The sequence below is a fragment of the Homo sapiens genome, chromosome 15, assembly GCF_000001405.40.
Source record: "Homo sapiens chromosome 15, GRCh38.p14 Primary Assembly".
Classification (NCBI taxonomy): domain Eukaryota; kingdom Metazoa; phylum Chordata; class Mammalia; order Primates; family Hominidae; genus Homo; species Homo sapiens.
Genome location: NC_000015.10, coordinates 74,980,177 through 74,995,104, shown reverse-complemented (window position 1 = coordinate 74,995,104; position 14,928 = coordinate 74,980,177).

Sequence of the window (14,928 nt, the reverse complement as noted above, 5' to 3'; positions counted from 1 at the left end):
AAGATCGGAGATGATATTCAGAGAGGCAAGGACACAGATCCACGGAAAGACGACATAGGAGGACGAGAAAGAAGAGCTGCAAACAGAGACAGAGACACACGGAGAGAGAGACTGAGATGAGAGCTCAAGGCCTGGAGAGAAAAAAGACATGGAAAGATAAGATAGGTAAGGGAGCATAATGAAGCAAGAAAGAGGCAAGAAATAGAGACAAATTACGCAAAGGAGCAGAGAGAGAGAGAGAGAGAGAGGAGAGGCTTAGAAAAAGAAAGAGACTCAGAAAAAGGAATGAAAGAGACAGTGATATGCAGAGATGAATACCAAGAGAGAGTAGAGGCAAGGGTAAATGTTTAAAAACCCAGAGCTTTGGAGGGTTGAGAGAGACCCACTTGGAGAGATGGGCTGGGAGTGAAGACAGGATTTTATTGTGATTGGTGTTTACATAGTAAACCTCCGTGGGATCTCTACAGGCAGGGCCAGGGCCACTGTCTGTCCTGCCAGCCAATTGCTCCTTCCCCTACACCATACACCCACCCTCCACCCCCCACCCACACCATCCTAGGCCTGGAAGGGGGCCTCAGTGGGTGGGAGACACTGCAGGGATTCTTTGCCTAGAATAAGGGCCCATTGTCTGGCTCCATCCTGCCAGGAGTGGGGCCTCACTCCCACAGCTGGCATGAAAAGGGGGTGGCAGTGAAAAAAGGCAGACAAGAACTAGTGTGGCAGAGGGGAAAAGGAGGGAGAGAGCCTCGGTGCCTGGGAAGGGCTGAGCAGGAAGCATCATCCTGCCACCAGGCCAACCAGGAAGGAAGGGTCCTGGGCTTCGGGGCAGGACAACTGGGTTCTGTGTCAGTCCTGTCCCTGGTTGACCCACATGCTGTCTCTCCCTGCTATAATGCAAGCCAAGGCTGATTTACAGAGCTGTGGAGAGCAGCCAATGAGATGACAACTGGGAACCTGTCGAAGTTATCAAGTGTGGCTGCTACAGGGAAAATGTTGGGAGTCCATGTGGGCCTCAGGAAAGATATAGGGGTTCACATAGGCCTTTAGGAGAGAGATCTGAGGTCCACACTGGGATCCACAAGGAAGATGTCTGGAAACCACATGGAATTTATAGGAGATATCTTGTGGTTCATGTAGGTCCTACAAGGGAAATATTGGGGTTCCCGTCTGATGACCACGGACAATTTTTCTCCACTCAGAAGAATCAGAAGGGTCTCCTATTTGATAAACAACTAACGTAGGAAGAGTGAGCAGGTCCAAAGTCAGAAGCCCACCTTTGTCCCAGTAGATTGTACCTTTCCTATTCAGGTAAATGGAAGGGAACAATGATCACTTAAACAAACGTTTACTTAATAGGCATTTGCTGGTTACCTACCATGAGAAGAAGCATACAGCAGTGGTTAAGAATATCAACCTAGAAGGCAGACCTTGCCCCTTCCCTGCAGTGTGAATTTGAGAAGGTACTAATCCTCACTGAACCTTAGTTTTCCACATATGTAAAATAAGGATGGTGATAATGGGACCCGTGTCTTAGGGTTCCTGCAAGGATGAAATGAATTAATACATGCAGACACATGTAACATATGGGACTGCCTGGTACACAGTAAGTATTTAATGATCTGTAAATAGATGGATAAAACAATTTTTAAAAATTAAAAATAAAGTATTTAAGCCAGGCACGGTGGGTCACGCCTATAATCCCAGCACTTTGGGAGGCCAAGGCAGGCGAATCACTTGAGGTCAGGAGTTCGAGACCAGCCTGGCCAACATGGTGAAACTTCATCTCTGCTAAAAATACAGAAATAGCCAGCCATGGTGGTGTGCACCTGTAATCCCAGCTACTCAGGAGGCTGAGGCACAAGAATCCCTTGAACCCAGGAGGTGGAGGTTGCAGTGAGCCTAGATGACGCCACTGCACTCCAGCCTAGGCGACAGACCAAGACTTCCTCTCAAAAAAATAAATAAATAAAGTATTTAAAGGTGCTAGCTCAAACTGCGTGGCAGGCACTGGAGACATGTCTTTGTTGTAGTGGAGGGCAGGGGTGAGAGAGCCTGTGCCAAACCATGCAGTAACACATTTCAAGCTTCTTTGCAGATGTGGAGAATGTCACATCTGCTCATATGCCATTACTCAAAGCAAGTCACATGGGTAAGCCCAAAATTAATTCATGGGGGTCAGGGAGGTATGCTACCCATACAGGATGCCAGATAAGTCACATGACAAATGGTGGGGACATTTAATCCCATTGCAGAGGGAGCAAGTAACTGGGAACAGGAACCCAATCAATCAATGTCCCACAGGGCCAGCTCCAGGCTGCTTATCTTTCCCTGCCTAGCTATGCCTGAATGAGGCATGTCCATCCAAGAGTCTCTGGGAGAATATTTATGTTACAGGCCAGTAAACGAATAAAAATAGAAGTATTTACTGAACTTTTAATGTCTGAGTGAAATGCTAAACTGCATGACCATCCTAAGAAATAAGTGCTATTGGGCCGGGCGCAGTGGCTCACACCTCTAATCCCAGCACTTTGGGAGGCCAAGGCGGGTGAATCACAAGGTCAAGAGATCGAGACCATCCTGGCTAATACGGTGAAACCCGGTCTCTACTGAAAATACAAAAAATTAGCCGAGCATGAGAGCGTGTGCCTGTAGTCCCAGCTGCTGGGAGGCTGAGGCAGGAGAATGGCATGAACCCAGGAGGCGGAGCTTGCAGTGAGCCGAGATCCCGCCACTGCACTCCAGCCTGGGCGACAGAGCGAGACTCGGTCTCAAAAAAAAAAAAAAAGAAAGAAAGAAAGAAGTGATACTATCCATATTCTATAGATGAGCCAAGTGAAATTCAGAGAGGTAAAGTGATCTGCCCAAGGAAATTGGATGGATAGATCTAAGAAATAAAAGAACCACTATCTTTAGGCTGGGTATCCCCAGAGGCAGACACTGAGATAAGGATGTTCATATAAATGGTCCATTTGAGAGATGATTCCGTGGAGCACTAGTAGGAGAGAGGGGGAGTGAAACAAACAAATGAAGAAAAGCAATATAGGGTGCAATAATCAGCAGATTACCACTGTGGACAAATGGGGCTTGACTGTATTGGGCATCTCTGGGAGAGTGAAGAAGACAAGGTACTCATCCCACTGAAGGAGTGATGACACTGATGATTTCTTCATTAGTTGAGAGCTGTTCCTGGCACCTCCAGCCTGCCGGAGTGCCTTCTGAGCAGAGAGCACCCTCAGGCAGAAAATCCCAGGGGCTTATAGTAAAAAAACATCAGGAGTGGCTAAAGGGGTATGGGAAGGGCACTGTGTTGTGACATCTACCACAGCCAGGACCTAAACCCATCAGCCTGGCTCCTGAGCCATCTTATGTCACCTCCATGATAATCCTGTTAATCACGTTATCATCCATGCTGTTAGTCCTGTGGAAGTTTACAATATGGAGTCTTCTTTCTTAACAAAGAGCCTCCCCTGACTGGCGCGGTGGCTCATGCCTGTAATCCCAACACTTTGGGAAGCCAAGGTGGGTGGATCACCTGAGGTCAGGAGTTCGAGACTAGCCTGGCCAACATGGTAAAACCCCGTCTCTACTAAAGATACAAAAATTAGCCGGGTGTGGTGGCGGGCGCCTGTAATCCCAGCTACTTGGGAGGCTGAAGCAGGGAAATCGCTTGAACCCGGAAAGCAGAGGTTGCAGTGAGCCGAGATTGTGCCATTGCACTCCAGCCTGGGGGACAAGAGTGAGACTTCATCTCAAAGAAAAAAAAAAAGTTTTTTAAATTAGCTTGACATGGTAGCATGCTCCTGTAGTCTTGGTTAGTTGGGAGGCTGAGGTGGAAGGACCACATTAAGCCTGAGATATTGAGGCTACAGTAAACCATGTTCTTCAACCACTGCACTCCAGCCTGGGCAACAAAGTGAGACCCTGCCAAAAAAGAAAGAAAGAAAGAAAGAAAGAAAGAAAGAAAGAAAGAAAGAAAGAAAGAAAGAAAGAAAGAAAGAAAGAAAGAAAGAAAGAAAGAAAGAAAGAAAGAAAGAAAGAAAGAAAGAAAGAAAGAAAGAAAGAAAGAAAGAAAGAAAGAAAGAAAGAAAGAAAGAAAGAAAGAAAGAAAGAGAGAGAAAGAGAAAAAAAGAAAGAAAGAAGAGAAAGAAAGAAGAGAAAGAACTTCCTGCTTCCCCCAGTCTCCCCCATGCTCCTGGTCTTGTGAGATGCCACCTCCCTGACACTTAGCATGTGTGCTTGATTGCACAGCACCGAGCATACAGGGACACACATACTTGCTACAGAGCCACAGAAATGTCAGATCAGCTCATCCAGCAGTGAGCAACCCTGAGGCTCAGAGAGCTCACCCTAGACCTCCCTGAACAGTGCTTCTCCTCCTTACACTGCTCCACACTGCCCTGTCCCTGTGTTTGTCCCTTCTCGCCCAAACAGACTGGAAGCTCCCCAAGACAATCCACAGATTGCAAGAAGATACTTGCAAATCATATATATGAAAAGAGACTTGCGCCCAGAATATATGAAGAATTCTTACAACTCAATAATAAAAAGACAAATAACCCACTTAAAAATGTACAAAAGATCTGAAAAGAAATTTCTCCAAAGAAGATTTACAAATGGCCAATAATCATGTGAAAACATGTTCAACATTATTAGTCATCAGGGAAATGCAAATCAAAACCACAATGAGATACCACTCTATATGTACTAGGATTACTATAATTTAAAAGATAGATAATAATAAATATTTTCAGGGATGTAGGGAAATCAGAACTTTCATACACTGCTGGTAGAAAGTAAGATAGTGCAGCCACTTGGGAAAACAGTTTGGCAGTTGCTAAAAAATTTAAACTTTTTTTTTTTTGAGATGGAGTCTCGCTCTGTCGCCCAGGCTGGAGTACAGTGGCGCTATCTCAGCTCACTGCAACCTCTGCCTCCCGGGTTCACGCCATTCTCCTGCCTCAGCCTCCTGAGTAGCTGGGACTACAGGCGCCCACCACCACGCCCGGCTAATTTTTTGTATTTTTAGTAGAGACGGGGTTTCTCCGTGTTAGCCAAGATGGTCTCGATCTCCTGATCTCGTGATCCGCCCGCCTCAGCCTCCCAAAGGGCTGGGATTACAGGAGTGAGCCACCACGCCCGGCCAAAATTTAAACATTTTTAAACAAGTTATCATTTGACCCTGCAATTCTACTCCTAGGTATATACCCAAGAGAAATGAAAACATATTCACAAAATGGCCAAGAATATTTATTATGATTTTATTCCTAGTAGCTAAAAACTGGAAACAACCATCAACAACAGAATGAATAGAGAAATCATTGCATATTCATACAATGGAATATGACTTAACAATTAAAATGAATAAACTGCTGATACAGCACATGGATAAATCTCAAAACATTATGTTGAGCAAAATAAGCCAGACCAAAAAAATGCAAACTATATGATTCCACTTATATAAAGTTCAAGAACAGGAAAATTAATGTGATGGAAGTCAGAATAGTGGTTGCTGGTTGGGGAGGTGTGTGGATTGAATGGAAAGGGGCAAAAATAAAAGTTGTGGGGAGAGTGGGGGGTGATAGAAATATTCTTGATCTTGGCTGGGTGCGGTGGCTCATGCCTGTAATCCCAACATTGTGGGAGGCCGAGGCAGGCTGATTGCTTGAGGCTAGGAGTTTGAGACCAGCCTGGCTAACATGGTGAAACCCCATCTCTACTGAAAATACAAAAATTAGCCAGGTGTGGTGACGTGCACCTGTACTCCCAGCTACTTGGGAGACTGAGAGGGACCACTTGAACCTGGGAGGCAGAGGTCGCAGTGAGCTGAGATCGTGCCACTGCACTCCAGCCTGGGTGACAGAGCGAGACTCCGTCTCAAAAAAAAAAAAATTCTAGATCTTGTTTAGGGTGATAGTTACAACTGTATGAAATTATCAGAACTCAGCTGGGCATGGTGGCTCATGCCTGTAATCCCAGCACTTTGGGAGGCTGAGGCAGGTGGATCACCTGAGGTCAGGAGTTCGAGAGCAGCTTGACCAACATGGTGAAACCCTATGTCTACTACAAATACAAAAATTAGCTGGCTGTGGTGGCAGACACCTGTAATCCCAGCTATTTGGAAGGCTGAGGCAAGAGAATTGTTTGACCCCAGGAGGCAGAGGTTGTGGTGAGCCAAGGTCGTACCACTGCACTCTAGCCTAGGTGACAGAGCAAGACTTGGCTCAAAAAAAAAAAAAAAAAACAGAACTCATCAAACTGAAAACTTAAGATAGGTGCAATTTATTGTATGTGAACTAGAACTCAGTAAAGTAATGTCATTTTTAAAAATTGGGGGGAGGCCAGGTGATGTGGCTCATGCCTGAAAGCCCAGCACTTTGGGAGGTTGAGGCAAGCAGATCACTTGAGCCCAAGAATTCAGGATGAGCCTGGGCAACATGGTGAAACCCCATCTCTACAAAAAAAAAAAAAAATCATTCTGGCATGGTGCCACATGCCAGTACTCCCAGCTACTGGGAAGCTGAGGTGGGAGGATCGCTTGAGCCCCAGCAGTCAAGACTGCAGTGAGCTGTGATGACACCACCGCACTCCAGCCTGGGTGATAGAGTGAGACCCTGTCTCAAAATATATATATGTGGATCCCTGGGGCAGCCTGAGTCTAGGGAATAAGGACCCCACCTTCTACCTCTTGCAATATATCTAAAAAAAGACTTGCATTTAGAATATACGAAGAATTCTTACAACTCAATAATAAAAAGACAAATAATCCACTTAAAAATGCACAAAGGATCTGAATAGAAATTTCTCCAAAGATTTACAAATGGCCACCCTTCACTGCTTCCCTTCCAACAGCAGGGCCTCCAATTGAACACCTGGGGGCACCCACGCCCACAGAGTTAGTTCTCCACCAGCTAGGTGGCTCTGTCCACAGCTGGAAGTGCTGGGGGCTAGGCAGCCTGCTGGCCTGCACACAAGCCAATTTCATTGTCACCTCTTGCAGCTTAGCCAGGAGTTCTTAACACAGAATCCAGAACACTGCCCACTTCTCATGGGTTGAGTTAAATCAGAAGTAGTGAGCTGGGCTCAGTGGCTCACACCTGTAATCCCAGGACTTTGGGAGGCCTAGGTTGGTGGATCACTTGAGCCCAGGAGTTCGAGACCAGCCTGGGCAACATGGCAAACCCCATCTCTACTAAAAATACAAAAATTAGCTGGGTGTGGTGGTGCACACCTGTAGTCCCAGCTACTCGGGAGGCTGAAGGGGGAGGATCACTTGAGCCAGGGAGGTCAAGGGTGCAGTGAGCCATGATCGTGCACTGCACTCAAGCCTGGGCAACAGAGTAAGACCCTGTCTTAAAAAAACAAACAACAACAACAAAAACAAAAACAAAAAAACACACACGGCCAGGAGTGCCCATCCAAATCTGCTCCAATTAACTGCCCAGAAAGAAAAAATGCCCTCCACAAGTCCCAGCCTGGGCCTGGCCCTGGTGAGCACTAACCCCAGCACTGGCCAAGCCTCTGGATACCAAATCCACAGGACGCATTCCCATCCTCGCCCACCTGACCACTTGGATACAATGCAAAGCCAGTCTTGCTTCCACTTCCACTGTTTCTCTTCCTTCTGACACCCTCTGCCCTGGCAACCTTGCCCCCCCTCCCAAGTCCTCAGCTACCTCCGTGGTGCTGAGTGTTCCCAAAGCCGTGTCTCTGATCTGGATTCTCTTCTGCACTCCAGCCCCATCCCAAACCAGAACGCTAGGTCTTTTCCCTATAAGTGTACCTCCTTCTGTGACCCTGCCCCCAAAGATGACTCTATCATCAGTAATAAGACATGGGTATATCATGTACCTCCTAGTAGGATTCACTGATCTGTGTGATATTTGTGCATAAAATGTGTAACCTCAATCTTTTTTTTTTTTTTTTTGACAGAGTCTCACTTTGTCATCAGACTGGAGTGCAGTGGTATAATCTTGGCTCACTGCAACCTCCACCTCCTGGGTTCAAGTGATTCTCCTGCCTCAGCCTCCCAAGTACCTGGGATTATAGGAGCCCACCACCATGCCCAGATAATTTTTGTATTTTTAGTAGAGATGGGGTTTCACCACGTTGGCCAGGCTGGTCTCGAACTTCTGACCTCAAGTGATCTGCCCACCTCGGCCTCCCACAGTGTTGGGATTAAAGGCGTGAGCCACCATGCCCGGCCAAACTCAGTCTAATCATGAGAAAACATCAGACAAACTCCAGTGGAGGGACATTCTACAAAATAACGGATCAGTGCTCTTCGAAAACGACTGCATCAGCCCTCAATCACCCATGCCAGACTCCTTGAAGTTAAGTCCTTTCAATTCCGCTCCCCCATATCTTTGGAATCAATTTTCCTTTTTTCCTTCTCCACATCCACTACCTTATTTCATCATCTCTCACCTACGTGACTGCAGTATCTTCCCAAAAGTATCACATTCTCCAGTCTTTCCCTACCTGACACCCACTGAAGCCATTCTCCTTCAAGCAGCCGCGGGGATCTTAATCATGTCACTCCCTACTCAGGCCCCTCCTAAGGCTCCCCACAGCTCCTAAGAACTCACACCCTCTCCTGGGCTTGGCTCTCAGCCCTCCTGGCCTCAGCCACGGCCACTTCTCCAGCCTTGTCTTTTGCACACTCTCCCCGACAGGCACTCCAGCCACCCAGAACTGCCTGCAGATCTATGTATTCAGATTCTCTTTCACCTCCTTGCTTTTGCTCATGCGGTTCCTTCTGCCTAGAATACCCTCTCTTCCCATCACCTGACTCCCATCTTTGTCCCTTTGTCCAGAAATGTTTACTCTTCTTAGATCGAGGGTTCAGAAAACCCTTTCCAGTACAGGCTGCTCTTTCTCCACTCTCCAGGTGCTCCAGGAGGAGCAACCCATGGCCACTGCCCTCAGGCACATCATAACCTGTTGTGGGTTTTTTGTTTTGTTTTGTTTTTGGTTTGTTTTTGTTTTTGTTTTTGTTTTTGAGATGGAGGCTCGCTCTGTTGCCCAGACTGGAGTGCAGTGATATGATCTTGGCTCACTGCAGCCTCTGCCTCCTGGGTTCAAGTGAATCTCGTGCCTCAGCCTCCCAAGTAGATGGAATTACAGGCGTGCACTACCATGCCTGGCTAATTTTTGTGTTAATAGTAGAGACAGCATTTTGCCATGTTGACCAGGCTTGTCTTGAACTCCTGACCTTTGGTGATCCATCTGCCTCAGTTCCCAAAGTGCTGCGATTACAGGCATGAGCCACCGCACCCAGCCTGCCTCCCATTGTTTCTGACGACAGCTGGGCCTTTGCTCATGTTTTTCCTTTGGCTGGCTGATTCCTACTCATCCTTTGAGTGTCTACATAAATCTCACTTGCTTTGAACACCTCCCTACCTCTACTTGGTCTCAGTTCCTTCCCTCCCTGCCACCCAGTGCTGTATTGTTACCTCGGTTCCTGACTCCCCGTGAGATGTGAGCTCAGGGGCAGGAAGGAGAATCAGCCCCACCATGATGGTATTGCTTACCATCACCCCAATGCCAGTCTCCGGGAAAGGAGTCCTTAGCTGAGTGATGTGTTTGTAAATGTTTAACAACCAGCTCTTTAGGGAAAAATGTGTGTGTGTATGTGTGTGTGTGTGTGTGTATTTACATATATATGTGTATATATATATAATGTGCAAATATATTTACTATAAATTTTACTGATAGAAAGGATGCTTAACACAGAACTTACACATAATATACAACTCCCTTTATTGTAAATTCCATATAACCAATTGATTCTCACAGAATGCTGTCGTTTTTTGCTGAACTCATATCTATGATTGCAGTTGATGAATGAGTATAGGTATTTCACAAAACAATAACTCAGTGGGCCGGGCACAGGGGCTCATGCCTGTAATCCCAGCACTATGGGAGGCCGAGGCAGGTGGATCATGAGGTCAGGAGATACAGACCATCCTGGCTAACACGGTGAAACCCCGTCTCTACTAAAAATACAAAAAAATTAGCCGGGCATGGTGATGCACGCCTATAGTCCCAGCTACTCAGGAAGCTGAGGCAGGAGAATCACTTGAACCCAGGAGGTGGAGGTTTCAGTGAGCTGAGATTGCGCCACTGCACTCCAACTTGGACGACAGAGCGAAACTCTGTCTCAAAAAAAAAAAAAACTCAGTAACTCAAGCTCTGTATCTGTAGTGTTGGCTAATTTCCATGGCGTAAATATTTCCACCGGAGCTGATTTTGAGTTAATAACACGATGCCACTGAATGCAGAGCTGGGCAGAGATGCACCATAGCACACCATTATACAGTATTTCCACCATACAGATGCAAGAAGCAGAAATTAACTCCAAGAGCATGAATAGTAGTAAGATGTAGGAAAGTTATTAGAAAGTAATGAGTTTTGAATTTTCATTACCTTTGTTTTAATATACTTTACTTAATTGTAAGTTTATATAATTACTTTTTTTTTTTTTGAGACAGGGTCTCACTTTGTTACCCAAGTTGGAGGGCAGTGACGTGATCTCAGTTCACTGCAACCTCCGCCTCCCAGGCTAAAGCGATCCTCCCACCTCAACCTCCTGAGTAGCTGGGATTACAGTGCCCACCACCACATTCGGCTAATTTTGTTTTTTTTTTTTTGTTTTGTTTTGGTTGTTGTTGTTGTTGTAGAGGTTGGGCTTCACTATGTTGCCCAGGCTGGTCTCAAACTTGTGGGCTCAAGAGATCTGCTTGCCTTGGCCTCTCAAAGTGCCAGGATTACAGGCATGAACAACTGCACCTGGCCTTTATAATTACATTTTAATAATGACAATGTGTAACAACAAGCCCACAAAATTGAAAATTTAACAGTTGGTTTTCCTGACCCTATACAAGCTGCTTCTACCACACTACTGCTTGGACACCTGCCCCCAATTTCCTCTCCAAGCCCAATCTTGCTGCCAGTCTAGTAGACTTCTGAGTTCATAGGATGACTCACCCAATACCCGGGGTTTGTGATTCCTCCTCAACTCTGGTGACCTTTGTCTCTCCTTCAGTCACCCACCTGCTCCCCTGGCCTCAACAGAGGTTTGTCATCACCAAAAACTGTTTCACCCACTGAATCACAGTTTCCTCTCTTGCTTCTTGACTACAGCCTCCTCTTGTTCCAGCCCTCTCAATACCCCCATGCATGTCCTTCCACCTTGAAGAACACCGGTCTCCAACCCCTCACTTAGTCTCTGTTTATTATTGACTTCCTCCTGATTCCTGGAACGTCCCTCCTCCCTGCCTTTCTTCTACTGGACTGACACTTGACACTCGAGACTTTTCACCCAGATGTATAGTAATTACACAATAAAGCAATTCACACTTACTATTATTTCAGTAGAAGCTTTCTTATTTGATGCAATTGAGACCAGAAGTTGGTCAATTAAACAAAAAAAAAAACAGTAAGTTTAAAAGGATCATTAAAAATGATATGTGAGTCCGAGGCAGGCGGATCACGAGGTCAGGAGATTGAGACCATCCTGGCTCACACAGTGAAACCCCCGTCTCTTACTAAAAATACAAAAAATTAGCCGGGCGTGGTGGCAGGCGCCTGTAGTCCCAGCTACTTGGGAGGCTGAGGCAGGAGAACCCGGGAGGTGGAGCTTGCAGTGAGCAAAGAACAAGCCACTGAACTCCAGCCTGGGTGACAGAGCGAGACTCTGTTTCAACAACAACAACAAAAAAGATATGTGGGCTGGTCCGAGTGCAGTGGTGTTTACAAGTATTTGATTATAACTAGTTACAGATTTCTTTGTTTCCTTCTCCACTCCCACTGCCTCACTTGACTGGCCTAAAAAAAAGTTATATGTATTTGTACATTTTGCTTTAAGGTAAAACATAGAAATATATACTAACTCGCCAATCTTTTGATGTAACGCCAAGGCTTTTTCTTTGAGTACGGGTTTGCTGATTGGAATTCCGTATTTCTTTCTTTTTTTTTTTTTTTGAGAGGGTCTCCCTCTGTTGCCCAGGCTGGAGTGGCAGGACCATGGCTCACTGGAGCCTCGAACTCCCAGGCTCAAGCAATCCTCCCACCTCAGCATCCTGAGTAGCTGAGCCTAGGGGTGCCGCCACCATGCCTGACCAAGTTTTTATTTTTTATAGAGAGGGGGTCTCACTCCAGCGTCTTGAACTACTGGGCTCAAGCAATTCTACGGCCTTGGCCTCCCAAAGTGCTGAAATTACAGACATGAGCCACTGCACTTGTCTTTTTTTTTTTTTTTGAGACGGAGTTTCGCTCTTGTCGCCCAGGCTGGAGTCTCCGCCTCCCAGGTTCAAGCGATTCTCCTGCCTCAGCCTCCTGAGTGACTGGGATTACAGGCATGCGGCACTATGCCCGGCTAATTTTGTGTTTTTAGTAGAGACAGGGTTTCTCCATGTTGGTCAGGCTGGTCTCAAACTCCCAACCTCAGGTGATCCACCCGCCTCGGCCTCCCAAAGTGCTGGGATTACAAGCATGAGCCACCACATCTGGCCCTTTTTTTTTTTTTTTTTCTTGAGATGGGGTCTTGTTCTGTCATCCAGGCTGGAGTGCAGTGGTGCAATCATAGCTCACTGCCGTGTCAAACTCCTAGGTTCAAGTAATCCCCCTGCCTCAGCCTCCTGGCGTATTTCTTTTCTTGCATAACAATACCCATGACAAATTGTCTAGATTTCCACATCCTATAAAGTGCCTAAGTGCTTTAGGATGCTTGCAAAGCAAGACTGAGAATGGCCTTGAAGAACACCATTTCTCAATCCTCAAATGGTCTCTTTATCAGCTTCCTCCTGATCCCTGGAACATCCCTTTGCCCTGCCTTCCTTTTCCTTCTACTGGATCTACACTCAAGATCCAGTGTGAGTGCAGACTCGGGTTACTATAGCGTTTCCCCAACCTTTTCCGGTAGTCTTTCCAAACCAAACAGCTACTTTGTAAGTTTTTATGTTTTACTTTTTTTTTTTTTTTTTTTTTTTTGAGATGGAGTCTCGCTCTGTCGCCCAGGCTGCTGGAGTGCAGTGGTGTAATCTCGGCTCAGTGCAACCTCTACCTCCTGAGTTCAAGCGATTCTCCTACCTCAGCCTCCTGAGTAGATGGGATTACAGGCACGTGCCACCACACCCAGCTAATTTTTGTTTTTTGTTTGTTTGTTTGAGATGGAGTCTCACTCTGTCGCCCAGGCTGGAGTACAGTGGCGCAATCTCGGCTAACTGCAAGCTCCGCCTCCCGGGTTCACGCCATTCTCCTGCCACAGCCTCCCGAGTAGTTGGGACTGCAGGCGCACACCACCACGCCTGGCTAAATTTTTGTATTTTTAGTGGAGATGGGGTTTCACCATGTTAGCCAAGATAGTGTCGATCTCCTGACCTCGTGATCTGCCTGCCTAGGCCTCCCAAAGTGCCGGGATTACAGGCGTGAGCCACCGCACCCGGCCTGTTTTTGTTTTTTGAGATGCAGTCTTGCTCTGTCGCCTAGGCTGGAGTGCAGTGGCGCCATCTTGGCTCACTGCAACCTCCACCTCCCGGGTTCAAGCGATTCTCCAGCCTCAGCCTCCCAAGTAGCTGGGATTACAGGCACCCACCACCACACCTGGCAAATTTTTGTATTTTCAGTAGAGATGGGGTTTCACCATGTTGGGCAGGCTGGTCTCAAACTCCTGACCTCAGGTGATCTGCCTGCCTCGGCCTCCCAAAGTGCTGGGATTACAGGCATGAGCCACCGCGCCCAGCCTATTTTTATTTTATTTTATTTTATTTTATTTTAAAGACAGGGTCTTGCTCTTGTTGCCCAGGCTGGAGTGTAGAGGCATTATCATGGCTCACTGCAGGTTGCCCAGGCTGGTCTCAAACTCCTGAGCTCCTGCCTTATCCTTCCAAAGTGCTGAGAGTACAGGTGTGCCAAACGTACCATCTTAACCATTTTTAAGTGTATGATTCAGTAGTATTAAGTATATTCACATTGTTTTACAACAGATCTCCACAACTTTTTCATCCTGCAAAACTGAAACTCCATATCCATTAAACAACTCCCATTTCTCCCTCCCTCCAGTCCCTTGCACTGTTGCCCAGGCTGGAGTGCAGTAGCACAATCACGGCTCACTGCAGCTGAAATCTCCTGGGCTCAAGCGATCCTCACACCCCAGCCTCCTGAGTAGCTGGGACTACATGCTCACTCCACCACACCCAGCAAATTTTTGTATTTTTGTGGAGATGGGGTTTCGCCATGTTGCCCAGGCTGGTCTTGAACTCCTTAGCTTAAATGATCTGCCCGCTTCAGCCTCCCAAAGTCTTAGGATTACAGGAATGAGCCACCACACCCTTATTTGTCTTTTTGTAAAAAGACCTCGTTTGTCTTTTTGTGAACAGCTTTTTTTTTTCTTTTAAGCAAATACCCTTTTCAAAACTTTCTAAAGCAGTCTACTTGGTTTTCATAGAAATAACAACTCACTTTCCTTCTGTGTCCATATTTCTATGGTTTAGTTATGGCTTAGTTAAATTATGTAATTACAGTAGCACCTGCAACAGGCATAAACAGATTTGGGGATGTGTTAGTCCAGGTCCTCAGAGAAGGTGGGATCCCAGAATAAAATTAAATATGCAAGAAATTTATTAGGAAACCAACTGTTAGAGAAAATGAGGAGGGGCTGGGCATGGTGGCTCATACTTGTATTCCCAACACTGACAGGCTGAGGCAGGATTGCTTGAGGCAGGAGTTCCATATTAGCCTGGGCAAGATCCAATCTCTATTTAGCCATAGCAAGATCCAATCTCTATTTTATTTATTTTATTTTATTTTATTTATTTTGAGACAAAGTCTCACTCTCTCATCCAGGCTAGAGTGCACTGGCGTGATCTCAGCTCACTGCAACCTCCGCCTTTTGGGTTCAAGCGATTCTCGTTCCCCAGCCTCCCGAGT